This window comes from Homo sapiens, chromosome 8, assembly GCF_000001405.40.
Source record: "Homo sapiens chromosome 8, GRCh38.p14 Primary Assembly".
Classification (NCBI taxonomy): domain Eukaryota; kingdom Metazoa; phylum Chordata; class Mammalia; order Primates; family Hominidae; genus Homo; species Homo sapiens.
In genome coordinates this window covers 17,086,913-17,109,068 of record NC_000008.11, presented here as the reverse complement: position 1 = coordinate 17,109,068, position 22,156 = coordinate 17,086,913, and the positions used below count along the sequence as shown (strand labels likewise).

Here is a 22,156-nt window from a genome sequence, read left to right as displayed (position 1 = left end):
TATTTATATATTAGATTAGAAAGGGTAGGCATCATTGAGAAATAGCATAACGAGCCATGTGGCTATTAAGGGAAGAACATTCTCATCAGAGGGGACAACATATACAAAGCCCTAAGACAGAAGATTTGAGAAACAGTAAAGAGTTTCTGTGGTTGGTGCAGAGTGAGCTAGGAGGATCAGAATATAGGAAGTGAGGTCAAAGGTAATGAGGGAGCAGTGTGTGTAGGAGCCACTGTAAGGATTCTGGCTTTTACTTTGAGAAGAATGGCAATCTTACTGTGGTATGATCGAAATCACAGTCAAAAACATTTCCGTGAATTCTAAATGCAGAATAGATTGCAGGGAGGCAAAGCTGGAAGCAGAAGGATGATCTGGGGGGAAATTCCAACACTCCAGGCAAGACAGAATGGTTTCTTGGATGGTAGCAGTGGAGGTGGCTAGGAGTGGTTAAATTCTTATACAGGTAGTATCAATAGGATTTCTTGATAGACTGATTGTACGTAGAATGTGAAAAGAGGGAGTCCAAAATTTTGGCCACAAGAACTAAGAAGAACCGAAGTCCTATGAACTGAAACAGGGAAGATGGTTTGCAGAACAAGTGTTATGGAATGACCAGGAGTTCAGGTTTGCAACCATTAAGTCTAAGACATCTACTGGATCTTCAAGTGGAGATGCTGAGTAGGCAGTACATTGCAAAAGCCTGAAATTCAGGGGAGAAGTTTAAGCTGCAGACAATGTGGATATACACTAATGACTACTAATCAGTAGTCCTGACTGCACCCTTGACCGCTAGATTCACATATCCAACTTGCCTGCTTAATTTTTCATTGAGATAACTATTAGGAATCTAAAATATGACTGGTTCCTAATAAAACTCTTGATTCCCTCCTAACCCTAAATTCATGGTTTTGCTTAGCTCAGCAAATGGCATTGTTTCAGCCTGTGGTTCAAGCCAAAGCCCTAGGAGTTCCTGATTCCTTTTTCTCTTATAATGAAATATCCACGAACAGGTACTATCAGCTCTACTTTTTAAATGATCCAATCAATATCTGACCCCTTTTCCCTACTCTTACCCTGGTCCAAGCCATGCTTATCTATTGCCTGGGCACCTATAACAGTATCTTAACCTGTCTCTTCCTTTCAAAGCCAGGCCACCTAAAATCTATTCTGTTATGTAGCAGCCAAGATATCTCTTGAAACATGAATCAGATATCTGGCACATGAATTAGACCACATCTGAGTGTCACAGTTGATTGTCAATACTTGTTGAATATTTGCTGAATGAGCATCATGCCTATGCTAAAGCAAGGTTCACAAACTTTTTCTGTAAAGGGCCAGAGAGTCAATATTTTCATTTTTACTGGCTACATGGTCTCTGTTGCCTCAACTTTACCATTATAGTGTAAAAACAGCTGCAGACAGTATATTAAATGAATGAGAATGGCTGTGTTCCAATACAATTTTACTTACAAAAATAGGTGCAGTAGTTTGCTGACTCCTGCTTTAAAGTTTAAATACTATAGTGGCTTCCCATCACTCTTACAGTCACTCTTTGAATAACTAAACTTCTTACCTTAGCCTACAGAGTCTTAAAAGATTTGACCCATATCTACCTCTCCTTACTCATCGCCTACAATTTTCCTGTCCACTTACTTTACCTTTTGGCATTTTCTCAAATAAACTAAGCTTCTCTGTCCTCAGGCCCTTGGCATTTGCTGTTACCTCTGTCTAGAAGACTTTACCCAGAACTTCGCATAGCTCATTCTTCACAGTCTCTCCCCAGAAGTTACCTCTTCACTCTTCAGCAAAGCTCTTCCTAACAGTCTACCTTCTTTTCCAGTCCCCATGACTCTTGCTCCCTTTCATAACATTTATCAGTATCTGAAAGTATGTCTTTTTTTACTTGTTTGTCTCTCCACTAACATACATTTCCATGAGAGAAGGATTTTGCTTATGTTGCCACTTTAACCCCAGTGGTTGGAATAAAGCCAAGTAAATAGTAGATGCTCAATAAATATCTGCTAGGTAAACAAATGAAAATGAAAGCAATTTAGAAATGTAAAGGGCTATTCAAATATTAGTAGCTGTTATTCTTCTGGAGAGAAGGAGATGAGAGATGGAAGGAAGGGGAAGAGTTAAGTAGGCGGAAGGAGGGGAAAGACATAAGTAGAGTGTGGTAAGAATATCATTGTCTTAGAAAGCCTTGGATTTGAATCCTTGGACAACGGTCTAAGTATCTGAAAGCCTCAGCTTCCACTATTCTAAAATATGCTGAAGAAAGTCAAGCCTGGAAGGTTGCTCTGAGGATTGATGAGGTAATGTAGAAAAAAAAAATCAATGAGAATCAATTAATTTTGATTCACGTGCAAATTTTTCCATTTCTACAAGTAATCATTTGTGGTGCTTAAGATACTTCTAGAAATTGGAATTTTTCAGAAACTGAATTTAACTTTAAAAAACTTAACCTTTTAAGTTACAGATTTTAATATTTCCATTTAATAAAAGCAAAAAAAAAAAAAAAAGCAGATTCAAGTCCCTAAGTAATACCTCAGTAGCTGGAAAAATTGCACTACTAGGGTAGTACAATTTTCAATATTTATTTTTAGGGAAGTACCTATGAATTGGAAAAATTCCGTTTAACATGTACAACAGACAAAAAGTACTCTAATTTGGAGATATCGTAAACTAATTGCCAAATGCATGAAGTCTTTTTTTTTTTTTCATTCCTTAGGGGAAATGGAAAATTGTTAACATTGTCACAGTGTATCCATTCTAAACAAAGTCAAACTATTTGCAAGTTTTTCTTGGATGACTAACCTGATCCTTGTCTAAACACAAATAGAAGGCAATATATCTAAAACATCCCACTCTTGAAGAGGTGCTTGTAACACTAGTTCTATTTGGTGGCAATGATGCATTCAAATACCACTAGATAATGCAACTGTTCAGAAGCACTGACAACACATTTGTTACTAAACAAATAGGCAATCAGTTGTCCCAGGTTCTTAACCATTCATGACATCCAAACTCTTTGAAAAACTTCACTTCAGCTGATGATAAGATCACTCACTCATCAATGGTGGTCTTCAAATGACCTTTTATTAAGGGTGTTACGGAAAGGAATAGAGTGTGACAGAAATGATGTCAACATAAACTGTTTTTTATGAGGTGGTATTTAGGTAGTAGTCAAAGCATAGAGCTAAGTGGAATTCTCCTGAAAAATGATATTGTTAATTTGAATAAAACAATTGGTAGTAGCCTAAAGGAGTTTTGAAATACCTAAGAAAAATGTGGATATCTAACCAGAATATACAATTAATTTATTTTTAAAAGTGTAGCCAGAGCATTTAGGACACAGAATGAAACACATCCAAGATATCTTTTAATCCACAGAGAAGCCAAAGAACTAACAAAAGGGCAATGTGTTTTAGAGGCACGTATTGCAAAACAGTAACATAACCAACTAAATATGAGGATTAGATACCTTTTCTTCAGGTATACTGTAACGCACATTTTCTAAAAATACTGATGTATTTTCCACATTTGTATATCGTAAAAGAATATGAGCAAAATCTTCTTCACTGATGGTATTCATTCCATTTGAGTAGGAAAGGAATTCTATTTCTAGAACTTCTGTTTGGAGATTATCCATGAATCTATGACAAAAATGTAATAAAGAAGGAAAAAGATAAAGAAAGAGTAATCGTAACAGGAGATGAGCAAATACTCACTGTCCTAGAAAAGGTTATATGGAAATAATTGTATGATGATGCAAAGATTAATAAAGTTCCTCCCTGTAAATGAGAATGAAAAGAACACACGATCGCTTTACTACTTAATGACTGTAGCACCCAGGGCAAATAACCTAGCCTTTCAGGGGTTTAGTTTCCTCATCTATAACATGGGGATAACAAAAGTACCTTGCAGAATAGCAATGATACTTAAACTACTTGTTACTATCACTGCAGCTTATTGAGACAAGGAATTGGCAACATACTTTCTTCTGAATATACAAGAGATAACAATCAATCCAGATATCTGGAATTTTTTTTTTTTTTTTTTTTTTTTTTTTTTGAGACGGAGTCTCGCTCTGTCGCCCAGGCTGGAGTGCAGTGGCGCCATCTCGGCTCACTGCAAGCTCCGCCTCCCGGGTTCACGCCATTCTCCTGCCTCAGCCTCCCGAGTAGCTGGGACTACAGGCGCCCGCTACCACGCCCGGCTAATTTTTTGTATTTTTAGTAGAGACGGGGTTTCACCGTGTTAGCCAGGATGGTCTCGATCTCCTGACCTCGTGATCCGCCCGCCTCGGCCTCCCAAAGTGCTGGGATTACAGGCGTGAGCCACCGCGCCCGGCCGATATCTGGAATTTTTAAAAAAATTCAGTAACTTCCTGTTATAATTATCAATATAACCACTGGTATGTAGGTACTGATAAATGTGGGTATTTATTATACAGAGGATCTTATTTAAAATTAAAGTAACAAAGAGGTGAGTATTGCTGTACTAGACAATTTCTAAAGATCCTTCTGATTTCAGTAGGCTAATAATTTTTAATAAAAATATAAAAATAAGCTCACCTATAAAAATCTTCAAAGTTGAGCTCAGCTTTTCCTTTCTTTCCAAAAAAGTGTACAAGAAGTGTAGTATCTGTTACTAAACTTGTGATGTCATCAGCACGCTTAAAAAAAAATCACAATTTAAAAGTTAGCTTCAATAAAAGAAACAGAATAGGGATACCCAATATTTCTCAAAGAATTCTGTTATCAACATACAAACATCAAGAATGTAAATATATTAATATTAGAATGAAAAACACAGGCATATTAATACATGCAATTATAGTTAAAATAAAGCTCACATTTTAAAAATAGAACTTTGAATGGAACTGATCATTGTACTCAAAAATTTTTGAAGATGTGATTTAAGAAATGTTTAATCACAAATTATGCATATAGGATTCTATCTTTTAAATTATCTAAAATAATTGAAATCCTTTAATAATCATCTAAATATTCTATTTTTATTCAAGTAATTAGTTTGGATTTTCCTAATCAATCTGAAAAATCTGTTTTTTTAAATGATGTTCCAAAGAGGTAACCTCTTCAGATATACTGAATAAATGGAGCTGACAAAAGAAAGGTCCCAAGCTTCACAAAACAGCTTCCTTTAACCACTGTATTCCACAGTTATGATACTTTAAATGGATACTGTATTTGGAAAGAGAAAAACTAAAGTAATAATATGACCTTGAAAATTTATATGATCTATAATTTTTTCAAAGTCTTACGTAACACGTCAAATGGATAAAAAATTAATTCCAGAGGATTTTTGCTTTCCCACTCAATAAACTAAGTTCTAAGTATTTTCTTAAAACTGCTTGGTTATAGTCCTTATAAAGTATAATGGCCTATGAAAATCATCCACCTTCCTTTAATATAGCTTTATAGATCTTCCTTTTCTCTCCTTCCCTTCCTTCCTTCCTTCCTTCCTTCTCCAGTTGGCCATTAACTCATTTCATAAACTCAGGTACAAAAAGCATAAAATTCAAAGGACTATAACTCTCCTACACATCATCCTAGGAAATGTGAAAAAAGAGTTTAAATAATCCTATTTTTTATTCAAGAAAAATAGCTGTAGATAGGCACATCGTTTTTAGCTTTTTGTCCAGAACTCTTATAGTACTCCATAGAAAACATAAGACAGAAAACAAATACTTCTCTACAAAGGATCAGTCTTCTGTGGTTGCTGACCAAAAGTCTCATTCACCCATATACTAAATTTTCATATTCCTTTAATTCCTCATAGCCCTCTTCCTAATCTTTCATAAAGATGGCAATTTTGTCCTTCATAACATTTGTTAAATCTTTATTTCCTTTCTCCATGGACCACATCTTCTTCTCTTTTAATGATTAAAATGGAGTAACAAAGACCACACCTGATTTCCCCTGCACATGTCCCCTTTTAATGCATTAAAATCTGTTTCTAAAGTGACTAATTATTCACATGTCTTAAAAACTCCAGCATGTAGGGTCATCTGTACTTTAAATTATCTAAAATTGTTGACATTCTTTAGTAATCGACTAAATATTCTATTCACATTTAAGTAATATAGTTTAGATTTTCCTAATCATTTCCAGCATATAACCTCCTTGTCATTGTTTGGTAGATCTCTACTACTACTTCTCAGTTTACTTTGTTGAGAAATCCCAAGAATTCTCCATAGCTGGAATACCTGAGAAGTTGTCTACAATAAAACCAACTTCTTTGAGGATTTGATAGTAGTTTGATCTGTTTGCCGGGAGGAAAAAAAATACAGCCAGGTAGCCAAGTGTCACATACTATGTTTTAAATGCATCTTCTTGAATAAGCTTCTTATGAAACTTGAGGGATATTAGTGGTGCCAGTCTTGTGGGGCTCCATAAGTGAGGGGAGACTAGTATAATTGGAGTAGCTCTCAAAGGCATTACTGTCCCCAGAACTTTAAGTTGAAGAGGCAGCCTGCTCTAATAGAACAAAATTTAAAATTAGAAGACATGGGTCACTGACTTTTTTTAACCTTCAGCTTTCTTATCTATAAAATGGGAATAATCCTAACCATAACAACAATTTTGAGGATAAAGTTAAAATATAAGCAAACAAATGTTCTTATTAGTAGTCATAAGATGCAAATAACTTTTGGGAAAAAAGAAATCTGGTATTAATTATAGGCACTCTTTGTGTGATTTAATAGAGTCTAGCTTAATAAGTTTATTATCTTACTTATTATCCGCTTAAATTAGTAGTAGGAGGAAATATTTCAGAGGTTACTCCATGCTCGAGTGGAGCATAAGAGTAGAGGCGCCTCTGTCTGGAAGCTAGAGGAATGGGGTGGGAGGAAAGGAGACAAGAGTAGATCAGAAGGGGGAAATGTTGTTTTTGAAAAAGTTGCTTGCTTCACAAATAGCCAGTACTGTGGTGAGCAAATAAGATGAGTTTAAAAGTCAGACTGCTGGCTTTGAATCCAGGCACTTCTCATTATTTAAGTGACCTTAGAGAAGTTAATCTCTCGAGGATATTACTATCTTAAGGAATAATAATAGTATCTATCCCAAAGGGTTGTGGTAAGGATAACACATTTAAATCATTTAGCCCTCTGACTAGTGTACTGTAAATGCTCAGTAAGTGTTAGCTGTTATTATGTATTTTTGTCAAATATATTTCAGGACACTGAAAAGGGACTAGACACAGAAAAGAATGTTGAATCTTAATGAAAAAAAGATTTTTACATCATACACTCTTACTTCTTTTTTGCTGTTGAAATTACATATTATATACATCTGGAAAAAAAGCCTTAAAATGAGTGGTTACAGGAACACCAAAAGTTAGTGAATTCAGATAACATAATTAAGGAATGTTTTCTTACAGTGTGGGATGTCCTTTTCAAGACACAGTATACTAAAATAAGATGGCTTTGTCTTATACAGGTTTTAAATAATGACCTCATTCGGCCAGTTTTTCTCCTGCCCACTGATCAGAGCAGATCTTCACTTAACAGTCTTTCAGCATCAAAATCTTATGAGATGTAGGTTGCACTTATCCAGATAATCCAGATCCAATGAGGCATAAGTAACAGTGACATCAGAGAAATGAAAATGAAAATGGGGAAAACTTTTCCCCCATTCAGTGAAACAGAGTACTGCTCAGCCACTGAAAACTATACCAGTGTCCTTGGGATCTTAACAGTGTTATGTAACTTACATCACCCAAGGACTGAGAGAAAAATAGAGACTTTATCCCTGTGATTCTTGTGCTCATTGTTAAAATAAAATGAACTCGGGTGTTTTCATAACAAAGGGAGAAAAAGCCACCAAAGAACCCCATGGGCCATTTATTCAAAGGACATTATCTTACTTTGTTTTGATTAAAAACTATTTAAAATGATTTCATCAAAAATAAACTTGCATGAAATATAAATATATCAAACTATTAAAGGGTTTAAAAATATTCTTTTAACATATTTTTATTGATTATAATGTGATAATAACCCTACGAGGTATCGAAGGGCTAGAGGAAATCTTCAAACTTTTGATTTTGTTAATGAAGTTTTTGAATAATCCATTGAAATTTACCAAGAATATGTAATTTAAAGCAAATTTAAAGCAAAATTTTACATTTCATCTGTAGAACTCAAAACAGTGTTTATAATTTTGACACTGACAGACTGTATTCAACAGTTGCACAATATACTCATCATACTGCACTAAGAATTTATTATATATGATTTTGGTTAGAAAGTAGTCTTAGCTCTGATATTCAAATTTTCATTATATGGTTTCACAGTAATTGGAGACACGGAGTTTTACTGTAATTTTAAAAATCTATGGTTAGAAACAGCTCCAGACTAGAATATGAGGGGCTAATAACCCAATTTCCCTATAATAAACAGATTTTATCTCAATAATTACATATTAAATATATAATAAAGAAATACATATAACAAATAGATTTCCAAGCCTTCTTTCTGAACCAATTTGAATCCTGAAATACTAATACTATAAACAATTCTGTGTTCCGCTGGTATTCACAGTAACCTATAAGGATTTATATAATTAGTTGTAACTGAACTGTAGTTAATTCTCAATTATTATTCTAATGTGGGAGGGTAGTAACAGATAAACCCCAAGTAATTATTTTACTCTGGAACACGATATAAGTTTTCTTTTCTTTTCCTCTTTTTCCTTTCTTGATTGTCTCCATCAGATTTACTTTCATGAAATTTGATTCAATTCATTCATTAATTTAGCAGCTTTGGATCAGAGTGTGGATTAATTACAGCCAATAGTGTGCTGGCAAACTGAGTTGTCCGGGAAAAAAAAAAAAGGCTGATTTGTAATGTTGGCCAGTTTCTGTGGTATTCATACTCCTATCACGGCCACTTTCAAGTAACAAAGGGGGTGTCACAGAATGTTGAGTTGGGAAGAGGTGTGCAGAATTAATTAGCTCTGGGAAGCTGTAAAAGCCCACAGCTCCTCCAGTCTATCTACAACAGAACCATATACCTTTTCCAAAGATCTTACAGAAATCATATAATTCTCTGAGTACACAGGAACTGACTGGTTTTCTGATATTAAACTTCCCAAGATTTAAATTAAATTCAACATCTGATTAGCAGATTTTGTCTAACTGAGAATGTCTACCAGAGTTAAATGGGATGAAGATAGTTGGAGGCTGGAAGGTGGATACTCTAGTATGGGGAGAGACAACAATGATATGACTGTTGATTTGAAGCATGGAAACTAGGACACAGTTGACTTGTATGCACTCTAAGAGTCCCAGTTGCTCTTATTTTTAAGCACTGACTACTACAATGTGCCTACATAATGATTACAAAATAAAGTGCTTCTAAAATATCTGTAAAGGGAACATCTGCCACTTCATACCTAATCATGGCTCATATTGAAAAGGTAATTTTAAAAGGTAATTGTTGGTCATAATTACATCACATTTATATATCACAGACATATTAAACATAGGACAAAATACTTTAATTGCTTTGGGACTTTAAAACTGAGCAAGGGCGACAAAATTAACATTTTCAAGTGTTTGCCCTAGTCTAGATATGTCAATAGAGTAACATTGTATATATGGATAACAGAAGTCACAACTGATTCCAGTTTACTTCTCCAGATATTTTCAGGTGTAACTTCTAAAAGTTAAATTTAAAGTTTAGAAAAAGAAATGAGAAGCCCACTGTAAAGAGAAAGAGATAATGAAAAACAAATCTCAGTATTTATTGAAAAGTCTTTTCTGGTAAGACCGCTAGCTGCCTCTAATAAAGTTCTTAGGAAAAATTCTTAATAAGAAACACAAAACAGTTTTTCTAAGATATGGCCCATCTTGAGAAACTAGAAATCTCTATTGACAGTGGTGTAAGAATGGGATAATGGAAGCAGCCCACTCCGATGCAGCAGTACGATGCAGATCTGTAACAAATTCATAAACAGTAATAGAACTGAAATAAGGTCGGTCTGCTTTTTATTTTCACTATGCACTGGCAATCTTAATGTCAAGGTAAAATATTCCTCCCTTCCTTGACTGGCTGTTCCTACCATACCTTCTCAAACTCCCATACCCCAGGCCCTTGGTAAGCCACTCACTATCAATACTAGGAAATTTGTTTAAATCTAACATAACTCTGAAGAGTCAGGTATCTTTTACTGGGGGAAACATTTCAGCATTTCATGTAACATGGTAAATTGTAAGCTTAAAAGATTCAGTGAAACTTTAAAATATATATATTCTAATTTCTAGAAAGTGATCCTTAAGTTAAAAAAAATGCCATTTCCTTTTAATTAAGTTCAACTGTCAAAGCTGATGTATTCAAATACACAGTTTATATATAGTAATTTTTGCTGTACTAAAACAATGGAAAATGTAACATACATGTTGGGTTTCATCACTGTGACTAAAATGAAATGACGACTAGATTAACAAGATGGCAAATAGTACAAGGACCTTGTTGAGGTTTAATTATACCTCTGCGAGGTCTGAAAACAGTGCTTGGCTTGTGTTACGTCTCAGTGTATCCCAATAGCTTCTGGAGACAAGTTCCTCAGCATCTGTTTTAAGTACCTGTAGAAGTTTTAAGAAGCACAACTGAAATCTAAAGAATAGTTACAAAGAATGATAATTTATACACTTTAAATCTAACCAACCTTGAAAAGGAAACACATTAGCTTACCTTTTTTTGTTTGTTTGTTTTGTTTTCTGCTGTGCACCACAGTATTGTATTACACTGCTGGTAACTCACATACTTTCAAAGGTGTAATGGTATATAACCACTATTTGTAAGTACAATGTAGCTTTGTCGAAAAGAATCAAATTCTCCGATCTCTCCTTCTGCCCCTCTACTGAAACGTGTGTAACTTCTAAGAAAGGGTGAAAAAAAATTCTATTCACACCTTGTGTGAAGTAAATTTGTTTGGGAAAAATTTTGGTAACTTTGTAGCAACCTATTAAAAGATACATTATTGCTGGCTATCATTTATCTTGCTAGTGTATCAAAGACTCAAAATAACTTTATCTATACTTTACAGAAACAAAGTTTAAATTCATCCCAAACTTGTCAAAAAGAAATAGACCTGTTTTAAGTCAAAGCACTCAAAACTACTTGAGATTTGGCAGGTGTTTCTATTGTGAATGGTTACGGTACTACTTATTATTTATTACAAGGACAGGATACTAAATTCTGAGAACAGGGTAGTCTGAAGGAGATATCAGGAAGTGTAGATTAAAAAGTGTAGTCTAATCACTCTAGGAAGATGTCAAACTGCAAGCCTAACTTGGATCCCCATAAACAAAAATAATTAAACCCAGTTTCTGTCAGGATTTATCAGGGAAGATTTCACAGGTTCTCAGGTGGTCTTTTGGTTAATGTGAGATGAAATGCTGCATGGTGTACTCAAGAGTGGCTGGATGAAAACAGAACTTTTCTTTCTTTCATTTTGCCTTAATCTTTAAAAGTCCAGTGCTCCTAATAAAATTATATGCATCTAGGAATTATTTCAAAGGTCCTCTAAGTTTCAATTCACTATTACTAACTAGAAACACTGCCCACTGCCTATATTTTAATAAAATCTTAATAAAATGTAAATAAAGTATTATTTAGCAGGAACCATTTACATAACACAGACATAAATATTACCATAACTATAAATGTAGCAAATTGACAGAGAATCTGCATCACTCCCTTTATAATAATATAAGCTTTAACTAAGCAGTTATAAACTAAACAGGGAAGACTAGCTAAATATAGAACTAATACAGTTCATTTTATTTTATATAGATATGGAATAACCTCAATAAATACTAGCTAGATCAAATGATTGATCTGAAAATATTATTCACATATTTTGAATGTGGATGCGTTTTAAAAGTTCAACTCAGAAGGTTAATATGTGATAAAGAAAGGGATTGTTAAACCCACCAAACTAGAAAATAAGGCTTACTGTGCACTACTGTTAGAAGAGTAGCAGGAATGATTCACTTTGTGAAGCCATGCCTCATCCTTACTTCCAAACACTGTCCACAATCACACACACACACACACACACACACACACACACACACACACAAATATATTTAGAACGTATTAAGAACTAAAATTAGTTTAACCAACCATGTATTTTGTGGACAAGAAAAAGAAGTAAATATATTAATTATTTCCAAATGTTGGGGTTAGGATATTTTAAATTTTCTTCTTGCTTTGCCATATTTGAAAATATTTTGAAAATGTGTATTTATCTATTAGGATAATATACAACTTTTCAAATTTAAAAAATCTTATTTAGAACGTAACAGTTTTACAAGTGTCCTGCTGCAGAAAGCTTTCTGGTTCATCATTTAGCCTCAGGGATTAAACAATGCTAGGATATACTACTGAATTGCTGTAACTGGATATATTTGTTTTTGTTTTATCTTACATCATCTTTTAAATAATTATAAAGTTTCTGAGGGCAGAAACAACATCCTTACAGCAACTACTGCTGCAGGAAAAAACAGCTAATAAATCAGTGATATGCCTGGCACACTCACTGATTCCTATATATGTAACTGTTCTGGAGACAGTTTTAAATGTTTTAAACAATTTGAACGATGAAGTTAAGAGCACATTCTCAGAATATGCAAACTAGTAGGAAGTTTTATCACCACGAAAATATAATACAGTAAGGATATTTTACATAAGCTTAAAGTAGCAATGAAAGTCAGACTAGATTTTAATAGCAAGAAATGCAAAGCAAATATAAAACCAGAACATATCTATGCATACAGGCTAAGTAAGGAAAGGCTGACAGAGAAAAATGCCCAGGTGTAACTGGACACTTTGATGGCTGTGAAACAGACAACTATGATGCTTTGATATGTAAATAGTAGACCAATACGCAAAGACTTCCTGAAGTTTTCTCGGTTATCTTTGTTTGCTATCTGAGCTACTGGCCCCTTTACCAGATGTCATGTAAAATGTGTAGACCTTCATTAAAAGAGGTAAAAGAATATACAGTTAGGTAGCCCAGAACTTCACAAGTGAAAGGCACAGCCAAAATGATGTCCTGCATGTAGTGTGCCCTGTAAGTGTGACACATTTTTTGCTTAAGTTCAGAGTCTGTTATTGATAGAACTTTCTTACACTTTGTAATTTTGGTCAAAAGCGCCCAGGGCATTTTTGGCTGAGCCAAAGCAGGATCCCATTCAAGGCATTCCATGCCATATATGACTGAAAGGGAGGAAGGCAGCAAGAAAGGAAGGAGACAAAAAAGGAAGGGAGGAAGGAAAGAAGGAAATAAAGAGGGAAGGAGGAAAGGAGGGAAAAAGGCAGTTAGGAGGAAAGAAGATTGATTTAGAGATGGTTAATATATCACTGTGCTAAGCAGAATAATGGCTCCCTAACGTTGCCCATGTTCAGAGAGCCAAATACCCTGTCTGAATAAAGGGTCTAAGAAGGTTCTATTCAGAGATTAAACAAACTAGGGGAAAAATAAAGTAACAGCCCATAGGAACAGATAGTAAACTGTTTTTGCTATTAGTGATATTTAAACACAGACAAACACACACACATATTAAAACTATATCTTTATAATTCGTGTCACTATGACAACCATGGCCCTAAAAACTGTAATCTGAGACTTGTTATTTAAAGTTACATGGCACTGCACCCTAGGTATATCATAGGAAAAAAAGAAAAAGAAAACTGAATACAATCCTCCCAGGAAGAATATATCCTTAATCTAGTCCTTAAAGAATCTGAACAGAGACTTTCCAACAATTGTATGCCCACAACACAAAACTGCTAAAGACAAAAGAACATAAGCCACCCTAAGTGAGAGCCAGCAGAAACAAACAACAGAACCAGATGTGCAGACTTCCAATAATGAAATGCTTAGATATGGAATACAAAGTAACTTTGACAACTTTGAAAAATATGAAGCTAGATTTGAAAGAATTATTCAGGAAAAACAGACTATCAAAAATTGTTTTACTCTTAAAATAATAGTCAAATAAAACTCTTAGAAATTTAACCGCTGAAATTTAGTATCAGATTATATATCTCTAGTAGAATTAATGAACCGGAAGATAAACATGAAGAATTATGCACAATGCAGCATGAAAAGATAAAAATACGGCAAACTGTTAAGGAGAAATTAAGAGGCATAGAAGAATGAGTATCTTTTTAATATTTGGTGTGATGAAACAGGAAGCGTGCATACAGCACTACTGCTGCATGCTGAAGTACCATGGTTGTCTTAAGAAAGAACACCTGTGTGATGGTTTGTGTTGCAAGCTGAACTAGCCACTTTTTTCATGAGCCACCACTTTTACTTGAAAGAACAACTAATAGACAAACCATGGTTATTCAGATTTCAGTACCTGGTAGACATTTTTTTTTTAAAATGAACCAAGCGAGAGCCTGTCACTTGAAAGTAAACAACTGACAGTATTTATTGCCAAAATAACATATTGCAACAGATCGAATGCAAAACAGCTACGAGAAACCAGCTGTCTTCTAGTAAGCTAGACATTAAAGAGATCTGCAAAATATGTAAAACAATATCACTCTTCTCACTATATTTTTGAAGTTGTTTTTCCTACATTAAAATGTTTATGTTAACATATGAGTTTTTAAATTATTGTTTTAAAACAGACTAATATCTTTAAATTCTCAGTTTTAACTTCTAATATGGTAAATACATAACATATGTAAACAAAATATCTTTTGGATCCTCAATAACTTTCGACAATGTAATGGGATCACAGACCACAATGCTTGAAAGCCACTGTTAACAGCAAAAAAAGTGAATTAACTAGGACTACATACAACATAGATGAAACTGGCAATCATGACGTTGGGTCCAAGAAACGAGACAGAAACATTCATATAACATGATGCCAGTTACATAAAGTACAAAAAGGGGTAAACTACACTGTTTAGGATGCATAAGTAGGTGGTAAAACCACAGAACAAAGCAAGTAAGTGATTTACATAAAAGTCATGATTGTGTTTATCTTTTGAAGGACATTGAGGGATTATGAGTGGGGACACACATGAAGGGGATTCGTGGTATATGGCAATATTTTACTTCTTGATCTATACTATGGTGGTTATAATTTTATCATTATTTATTTTATTGTATATTTACGTTTTAATTATAGAAAATTTCTGAACTAAAATATATTTTAAAAATCAGGGAAAGCTTCATCATCACTACAGGAAAAAACAGTAAGTAGTACAAAACATTAAAATAGAGGTAGGTAGTATATTCATTCTGATAACTAAAAGAGATTTTACGGCAAAAAACATTTCTAGAGATCTAGGGATAGCATATAATAGAGGATTCAATTCACTAAGATGATATAAATAATCTATAATCTTATACAGGTAACAACAATTCAAAATACATAAAACAAAAATTAAGAAAACAGTAAGTAGAAGTTAACAAATCTATTGTAATGTGTAATTTAACATACTAATTGACAAATCAAGCAGACAAAAACATTAGTAATGACAGAGAAGATTTAAAACACATAACTAACATGCTTGGTAATATACATCTGTATATATTACACAACCCTGTACCCCAAACTGGAAAATACACATTCTTTTCAAATACAGATGATTTAAGAATATTGATATTGTTTTAGTCCATAAAAAAGTCTCAATATACACCAAAGAATTGGTATAAAAACTGGTATGTTTTCTGTCAGCAATGAAACTAGGAGAATTTAGAATAATCTTCTAAAAAAATCCTCTAATACATGCCAAAGTCAAATGTACTTGGCTTTTGGCATTATTTATCCTTTTGAATTTCTGTACTTCTTTTCATCACTGTGCAATGATGAAATTAAGAGTTGACCACATGAGAAATAGGAAAAGAATCACGGTTATTTGGAACAGAAAAGGTTATAAGGTAACAGCTCTCTTCATGAATACAAAGGTGTATGCTCAGTTTTACACTGTAGCAGGAAATAACGTGATGGAAAATAGGCAGCATCTACTGTAAAAGTGATTAAATTTTGGAACAGTTCACTACAGAGACCACAGAGTCTCTATCTCCATAGTAAAAAGCCAAGCGGGTCACTGCTTTCCCTGAGGAAACTTCTTCCTAAAGGTAGAAACTGGCTCTTATAAATCTCTTAGTTTATATCCAGCTCCATGATCTATACTCAGATTAGACACTTGAGTTAATTTACAACTCTGGAAACTAGCAGATAATTGCTAGTTAATTCACAACACCATACTAATAGATTTGTATAATACTTGTATCAATGATATTTCATATACATTTTCAGGATGTTGGAATTTTTTTCTAATTGTAAATGAATGTCCCTTGTTTGCTTGTAGTTTATGAAAATAATAACTCCTTAATGAGCAAATATTTTTCTATTATAGGAAATTTAGTTTATCTAACCAAGTAAACTCATAGAGGAGTTGAAAAATCCTGTAATATTTTAGACTATGTAAAAATGACATCAAGTTACATCACTTTAATGTGTGCATTTTACATGAGAAAAAGCTGATTTCTATAAAATGAAATAAAGAAAAAATATTACAATAAAATGTAAAAATCATAATTTTTTATTTAACAGGCATAATATAAATAAAATTTGCGATTTAAGTCTGCTTCTCAATATTGTCTTAATGTCTCAGTGACTGCAATTTGCATATGTAGTTTAAACTAGAGCAATATTAGGATCTATTTTCTTTTAGCAACGTTATTCTGAGACGTATTTTTCTAAAAAAAAATGCATAATGACCCTATATGAAAACTGCTTATGAGATTAAGGGAAAAATAAAAATTGTCAAAGTTAGAAAAATGGTTCATACAGTGATGACATATTACATTAGAAAAATAAATCATAGGTCAGGCACAGTAGCTCACGCGTGTAATCCCAGCACTTTGGGAGGCCGAGGTGGGTGGATCATGAGGTCAGGAGATCAAGACCATCCTGGCTGAAATGGTGAAACCCAATCTCTACTAAAAATACAAAAATTAGCTGGGCATGGTGGCATGTGCCTGTAATCTCAGCTACTTGGGAGGCTGAGGCAGAAGAATCACTTGAACCAGGGAGTTGGAGGTTGCAGTGAGCTGAGATCATGCCACTACACTCCAGCTGGGCGACAGAGCAAAACTCCATCTTAAAAAACACCAAACAAACAAAAAAAACCCCCATAAAGTCCTAAGTAGTATATGGCATATGGCATTATAATCTGTGAGATTTTCATCTTACACATTCCAGAAATTGTTGAAATCATTAACAGAGTAATCCTTTAAAAATGTAAAGGAAATGACAGGCTTTACTTAATGGAAAAGAGTAGTGATTTCTGTAGAAAAAATTTAAAGTATCTTGTAAGTAAACAAAACAATTACTTATATGGATCCTATGGACTTGGCTTGTTTCTCTACCCATTCCAGGTCCATTTTGTATAATGAGGAAAAATATCTTAGGTTTAGTTTACAGGGATCAGCCTCCAGTAGCTGTTTAAATCTGTAACAGAATTAGTTTTTATAGTTTGGAATTTTGATTAACTATCCAATACAGGAGACAATACACCTACTTTTAGAATTGTACACTACAACTAGAATACTTTTAGCAGGATAATATTAAATCAGTAACCCTGAATTCAAGGGCTCCTATGGTGGAATTTGCAAAAATTGAGGGATCCTTGCAGGAGGCTTAAGGATCCTTGGGGAAATTAAGTGAACTGCACATGTTTACATTCAAAAAGGGCCATGGCCTGTTCTCCTTTAGCAGCTGGGCTAACCAAAAGTGCTGACTTTCTCAGGAGAAAAGAAAGAAGAAAGCTCAGCATAAGAAGAAGGGTACAACTGGAAGTTCATCTACAGAAATTCTCAATTTTTTTAAGACAAGAAAAGTCTGAAAGTCATTATCCTCTTTAGAAATAATATGATAAACTGATATAACATATCAAGTAGCAGCTTACACCAGATTTTTGTGTAGAGCAGAGGAAATGGCAGGAAACAAAGGCTTTGAAAAAAAATTGTGAGCAAAAGTGAAAATGAAAAAAAGTCTATCCATTAAGACACTTATTAGAATTGAACAAAGACTGTACATAAGGTGGATAGATCTGGTTCATAAAATACCTGTGTTCTGCAGGAACATAGCCTGAGAATCTGCTCTCTCTACATAACTCTTCAAATACTGCTAAAAGATATAAAATTTCAATTATTATGTTTTAATTGTTGTACACTTACCTTTTCCTTATTTTAATCTAAAGTTAAAGATATATAATTATTCTGCATATTTTAGTCTTCACATAAATCTAGGAATGAAATGTAACATTATGGCTTCATTGCACCTATTGTGTTCAATAAATTCCAAAACATTCTATTAGTAAACAGCAGATATAGCTTTATATAAAGAAATAACATTATCAAGTATAACAGGTGAGGGCTATATACATAAAGAACATTTAAAGTATTGTACATACACTATTAGTAGGAGAATGGTATCCATAAAGTTGAAGACGCTGACATAGAGCACAAAGGGCCAAATGAAGTGTCATATTTCAGAATGAACCCAAGTACAGCAAAAGAAAAAAGGAAAAAGACGACAAAATAATCAATTAGGAAGGGCAAATCATTATGCTACATTTTATATAGAGCACACGAACAATACAAGTGGGATAAATGTTAAAGATGAGTAGCAAAGTTTTAAAAATCTCAGATAATTAAACATTAAATGAATTTTTGCTCATTTCAACCATTTCATTATAACCTTCTAATAGAACTACTGCTTTGAGTAAAACACGTTGTCCTGAAGTATGCGGTTTGATTTGGACATGCTTCCGCAATGCTACATGGCATAGGGGGAAATCCAGATGCAGCAGCAAGGCAGTGGAAATGGTATGAGAGACCTGTGCTGGAATCCTGCTCTGCTGTGATCAGTGCTGTGACATTAGGCACATGAATCTCTCTAAGACTGTTTTCTCATCTCCAAGCAGGTATAATACTTACCTGGTAGAACGGTCATGAGGACTAAAGGGGAGTAACATTAACAATGAGTATAGCATGGAGCTTAGCACATAAGTGTCCCAAGAAATGTTATGTTCACTTCCCTTTTCCCTTCTGAATCACAGTTTTATTTTGGCATATAAATATTTTTAACTTTAGTTTTGATTTAATTTTTATTTAGGTATGTTAAGATTCAGTTTAAAGTAGCTACATGGTTCTACTAACTAAAGAATAAGTTTCACTACTAGCTAACCTTTTTGAGTGTTTATTACATTTCACATGGTTAAGTAGCTATGTGCTTTAACCTCCATACCAATCACATGTGGTCATTACTCCTAATGCCCCCATCGTACAAATGAAAAAAAACTGAGGAACAGAGAGGTTAAGGACATTGTCCAAGGTCATCCAGGTAATGAGTGGCAGGGCTAATACTCAAACCCCAAAAATCTGGCTCCTGAGCCTGTGCTATGCTCTCTCTCTTATGTAATTCATATATTTTCACAATAAGTTAAATTTTAATTGCCTCAGAACTCAGCCAAACTATTCTAAGAATATGTGGAATCATATTGTCATTTCTATCACCTTGATAACATCACCTTACATTTTACATAATGTTTTCTAAGTAAAGTAGTATAACTAAAAAAAACTTTAAAACTAAAATCTTTGATAACTAAAGTAATATAAAATAAAACCTCCCTGGTTCAGATTTGCATTATTTAAAATGTGATTAACAATGTTAACACTAATTATCATTATTGCTAAACACAGTAATGACTATTTGGAGAGCTATAGTGTAAAGTGCTGTTAGTTCCAAAGTTGTACTAAAGATTATTTCTGAATTGTTTTAAGGAAGAGCTCTGATAGCTACATTATAAAAGTAAGATTTTAGAAGCGCTATTTAAGTTACATAAAACGAATACTTCCGAGGTACCTGTGGATATCAAAGACTTTAGTAAGCATTCGTTTATAAATAAACAAATTATATATTATATTACTTAAAAGTTATTTTAATCTGTTCTTTAAAACAAATCTCCTTCTCCATATATTTGAAAGGGAATGGTTCATTAACCCATATAAAATAAAATAATACAACTTAGGGTATGCTGGTATAATTTAGATTATATAATTCAGATGGATTTTCCCTAATTAATCTAAGTTAATGATGTTTTACTCTATCACTATTATAAAATATTTGCATTAAATCAATATTAAATTTCTTATACCTTGGCTGCAGTGACGCTCAGAGCCAAATTTTGTGCTAACACTGTAGGTTTTCTCAGTGTGCATTGTCTGCTAATATTTTTCTCTTTTTTATCTCCCTTTATTACTTGATGGATGTATTAATAAATGTTAATGACCAGAATAATACTGTATTTTTACTGGAAGATGTGTAAGTCCTCTCTGGAAGTAGTATAAATAAACAAATAAATAAAACAATTATATTTATATCCACTGAAATACTATCTACTTTATCATTAAAGTATATCAATAGATTCATTAACATTATTCAGCCTCCTTAAATAGTATTTTATTAACAACTTGCCTATTCAGTCAATTATAGTTAGAGGTAATATATCAAAATTAAAATAACTGTTTACTCATTTAGTATATTATTTACAAGAAATAAAATTTAAGAAAGTATTCAATTCTCTAGTCTTCTTTGCTAATACTCTAAACAGTTGCAATTATGGGGCTATTCATGTAGGATTTATTAATTACAATTTGAAAATCATGAGACCTGAATTAAGTAGAGAACTACTACTGCCCCTTTTGATACTTGACTAACATTACAATGAACTCTTTGATTTTTTAAGACTGTCTTCCATAAGCTTTGTCAATAGTATACTGAGGGATGTTCAATGACTACTAAGAATTATAGCATGGTCAAATATCCTGTAAAGCAGTATGTGCTATATAATCCTGATAATCTGCTTTCATTCAACTAAATATAAACGTACACTTCATAAATATATTGGGATTGAATATGGCACCCATCTGCTATAGATAATAATCTATGTTAAGAAAAACCTAATACATATTCTTATAAAAATGAGAATAATAAAAATAAAGTTTTAGCTCTCTGAAGTTAGTTATCTGAATTCTATGTAGGACAATTAAACTACTGCACAGGGCCATCAATTTGCAAATGAAACAAATGTCATTTACATGCCAACAAAATTCACTGTATTTCTGGTTATCTAAGTATCAGACAAAGAAATATGTCACAATGGATAAAAGTGAGGTTTTGGAGTTGGCCAGACACAGGTTCAAATCTTTGGCTTTGCCATTTAATAACTATGTAACTTTGGACAAGATACTTAACCTTCCCAATTATCAGTTTCCTCATCTATAATTATGGATACTAAGAGAATTGTTGGGTAGCTTAAATCAGAAATGTATGGAAAGCACCTAGTATAGTGTCCGTTTGTAAGGTCTTAGTACCTGTTTGTTATTTTTATTATGTGAACCTGGCCTATGGTCAGGCTGAAATACTTCAGATAAAAAGAAAACTGGTTAGGAAGATGGAGGGTAATGTTGCTTAACTCTAACTTCAGAAAAAGATGAAAATATTATATATCCCAGAAGAAGAATCTCTAATATATACATCTAAGAATGCAAGAAAACATATCATCTCCTTCTATTCGTTTCGACAGTCACCTTGTTATATTACCACTAAATTCTCTCACATTATAATTAAATCTTTGCAATTCACCTTTAAATTTTTACATGCATAATGATCTGTATTAATCTATTGTATGATATACCCTTCAAATCTCACAGATAACAATATGGATGAAAATGATTTAATGAATGATTATGGATACAAATGTTTAATATCAATATTTGAAGTAAATATTGATATCAATGCATATAAATACTGAAGCAATTTTTCTACATAAAAACTTTACAAAGTTTTCAAGAAAGGGACAGCTTCAAAGTTACAAACTTTAATTATTGTTTCTTAACATGAATAAAATAATTGTTGCCTACAAAAGCCACCTAAAGCTACTATAAAGTATTCTTACCAGCATTGCACGCTTTTCTTCATCTCCTTTAATTTCTCTCTTTTCATTTTTTTTCCTGAATATCTCTTGAAGCTGACAAAGAAATCAATCAAGAATCAAATATCCAACAAGAGTTTCTGGGCA

At 33.3% G+C, this 22,156-nt stretch overlaps 1 protein-coding gene across 33 annotated transcripts in view; it reads right to left on the bottom strand.

Moving 5' to 3' along the window:
• Positions 1 to 22,156, bottom strand: part of MICU3 (mitochondrial calcium uptake family member 3) — a 111,403-nt gene that overhangs the window by 29,572 nt on the left and 59,675 nt on the right. For 10 of the 33 annotated variants that reach the window (XR_007060729.1, XR_001745514.2, XR_001745515.3 and 7 more), the window contains 5 exons: positions 22,034 to 22,105; positions 18,485 to 18,523; positions 10,516 to 10,611; positions 4,578 to 4,678; positions 3,485 to 3,656 (listed from right to left, as the gene is read on the bottom strand). Coding sequence is in view for 24 of the 33 variants with exons in the window: in NM_181723.3 (NP_859074.1) it covers positions 3,485 to 3,656; positions 4,578 to 4,678; positions 10,516 to 10,611; positions 18,485 to 18,523; positions 22,034 to 22,105 (480 nt within the window). In the remaining 9 variants the exon portion in view is untranslated. The other 23 variants (NR_182123.1, NR_182124.1, NM_001413217.1 and 20 more) reach the window with 21 other exon arrangements.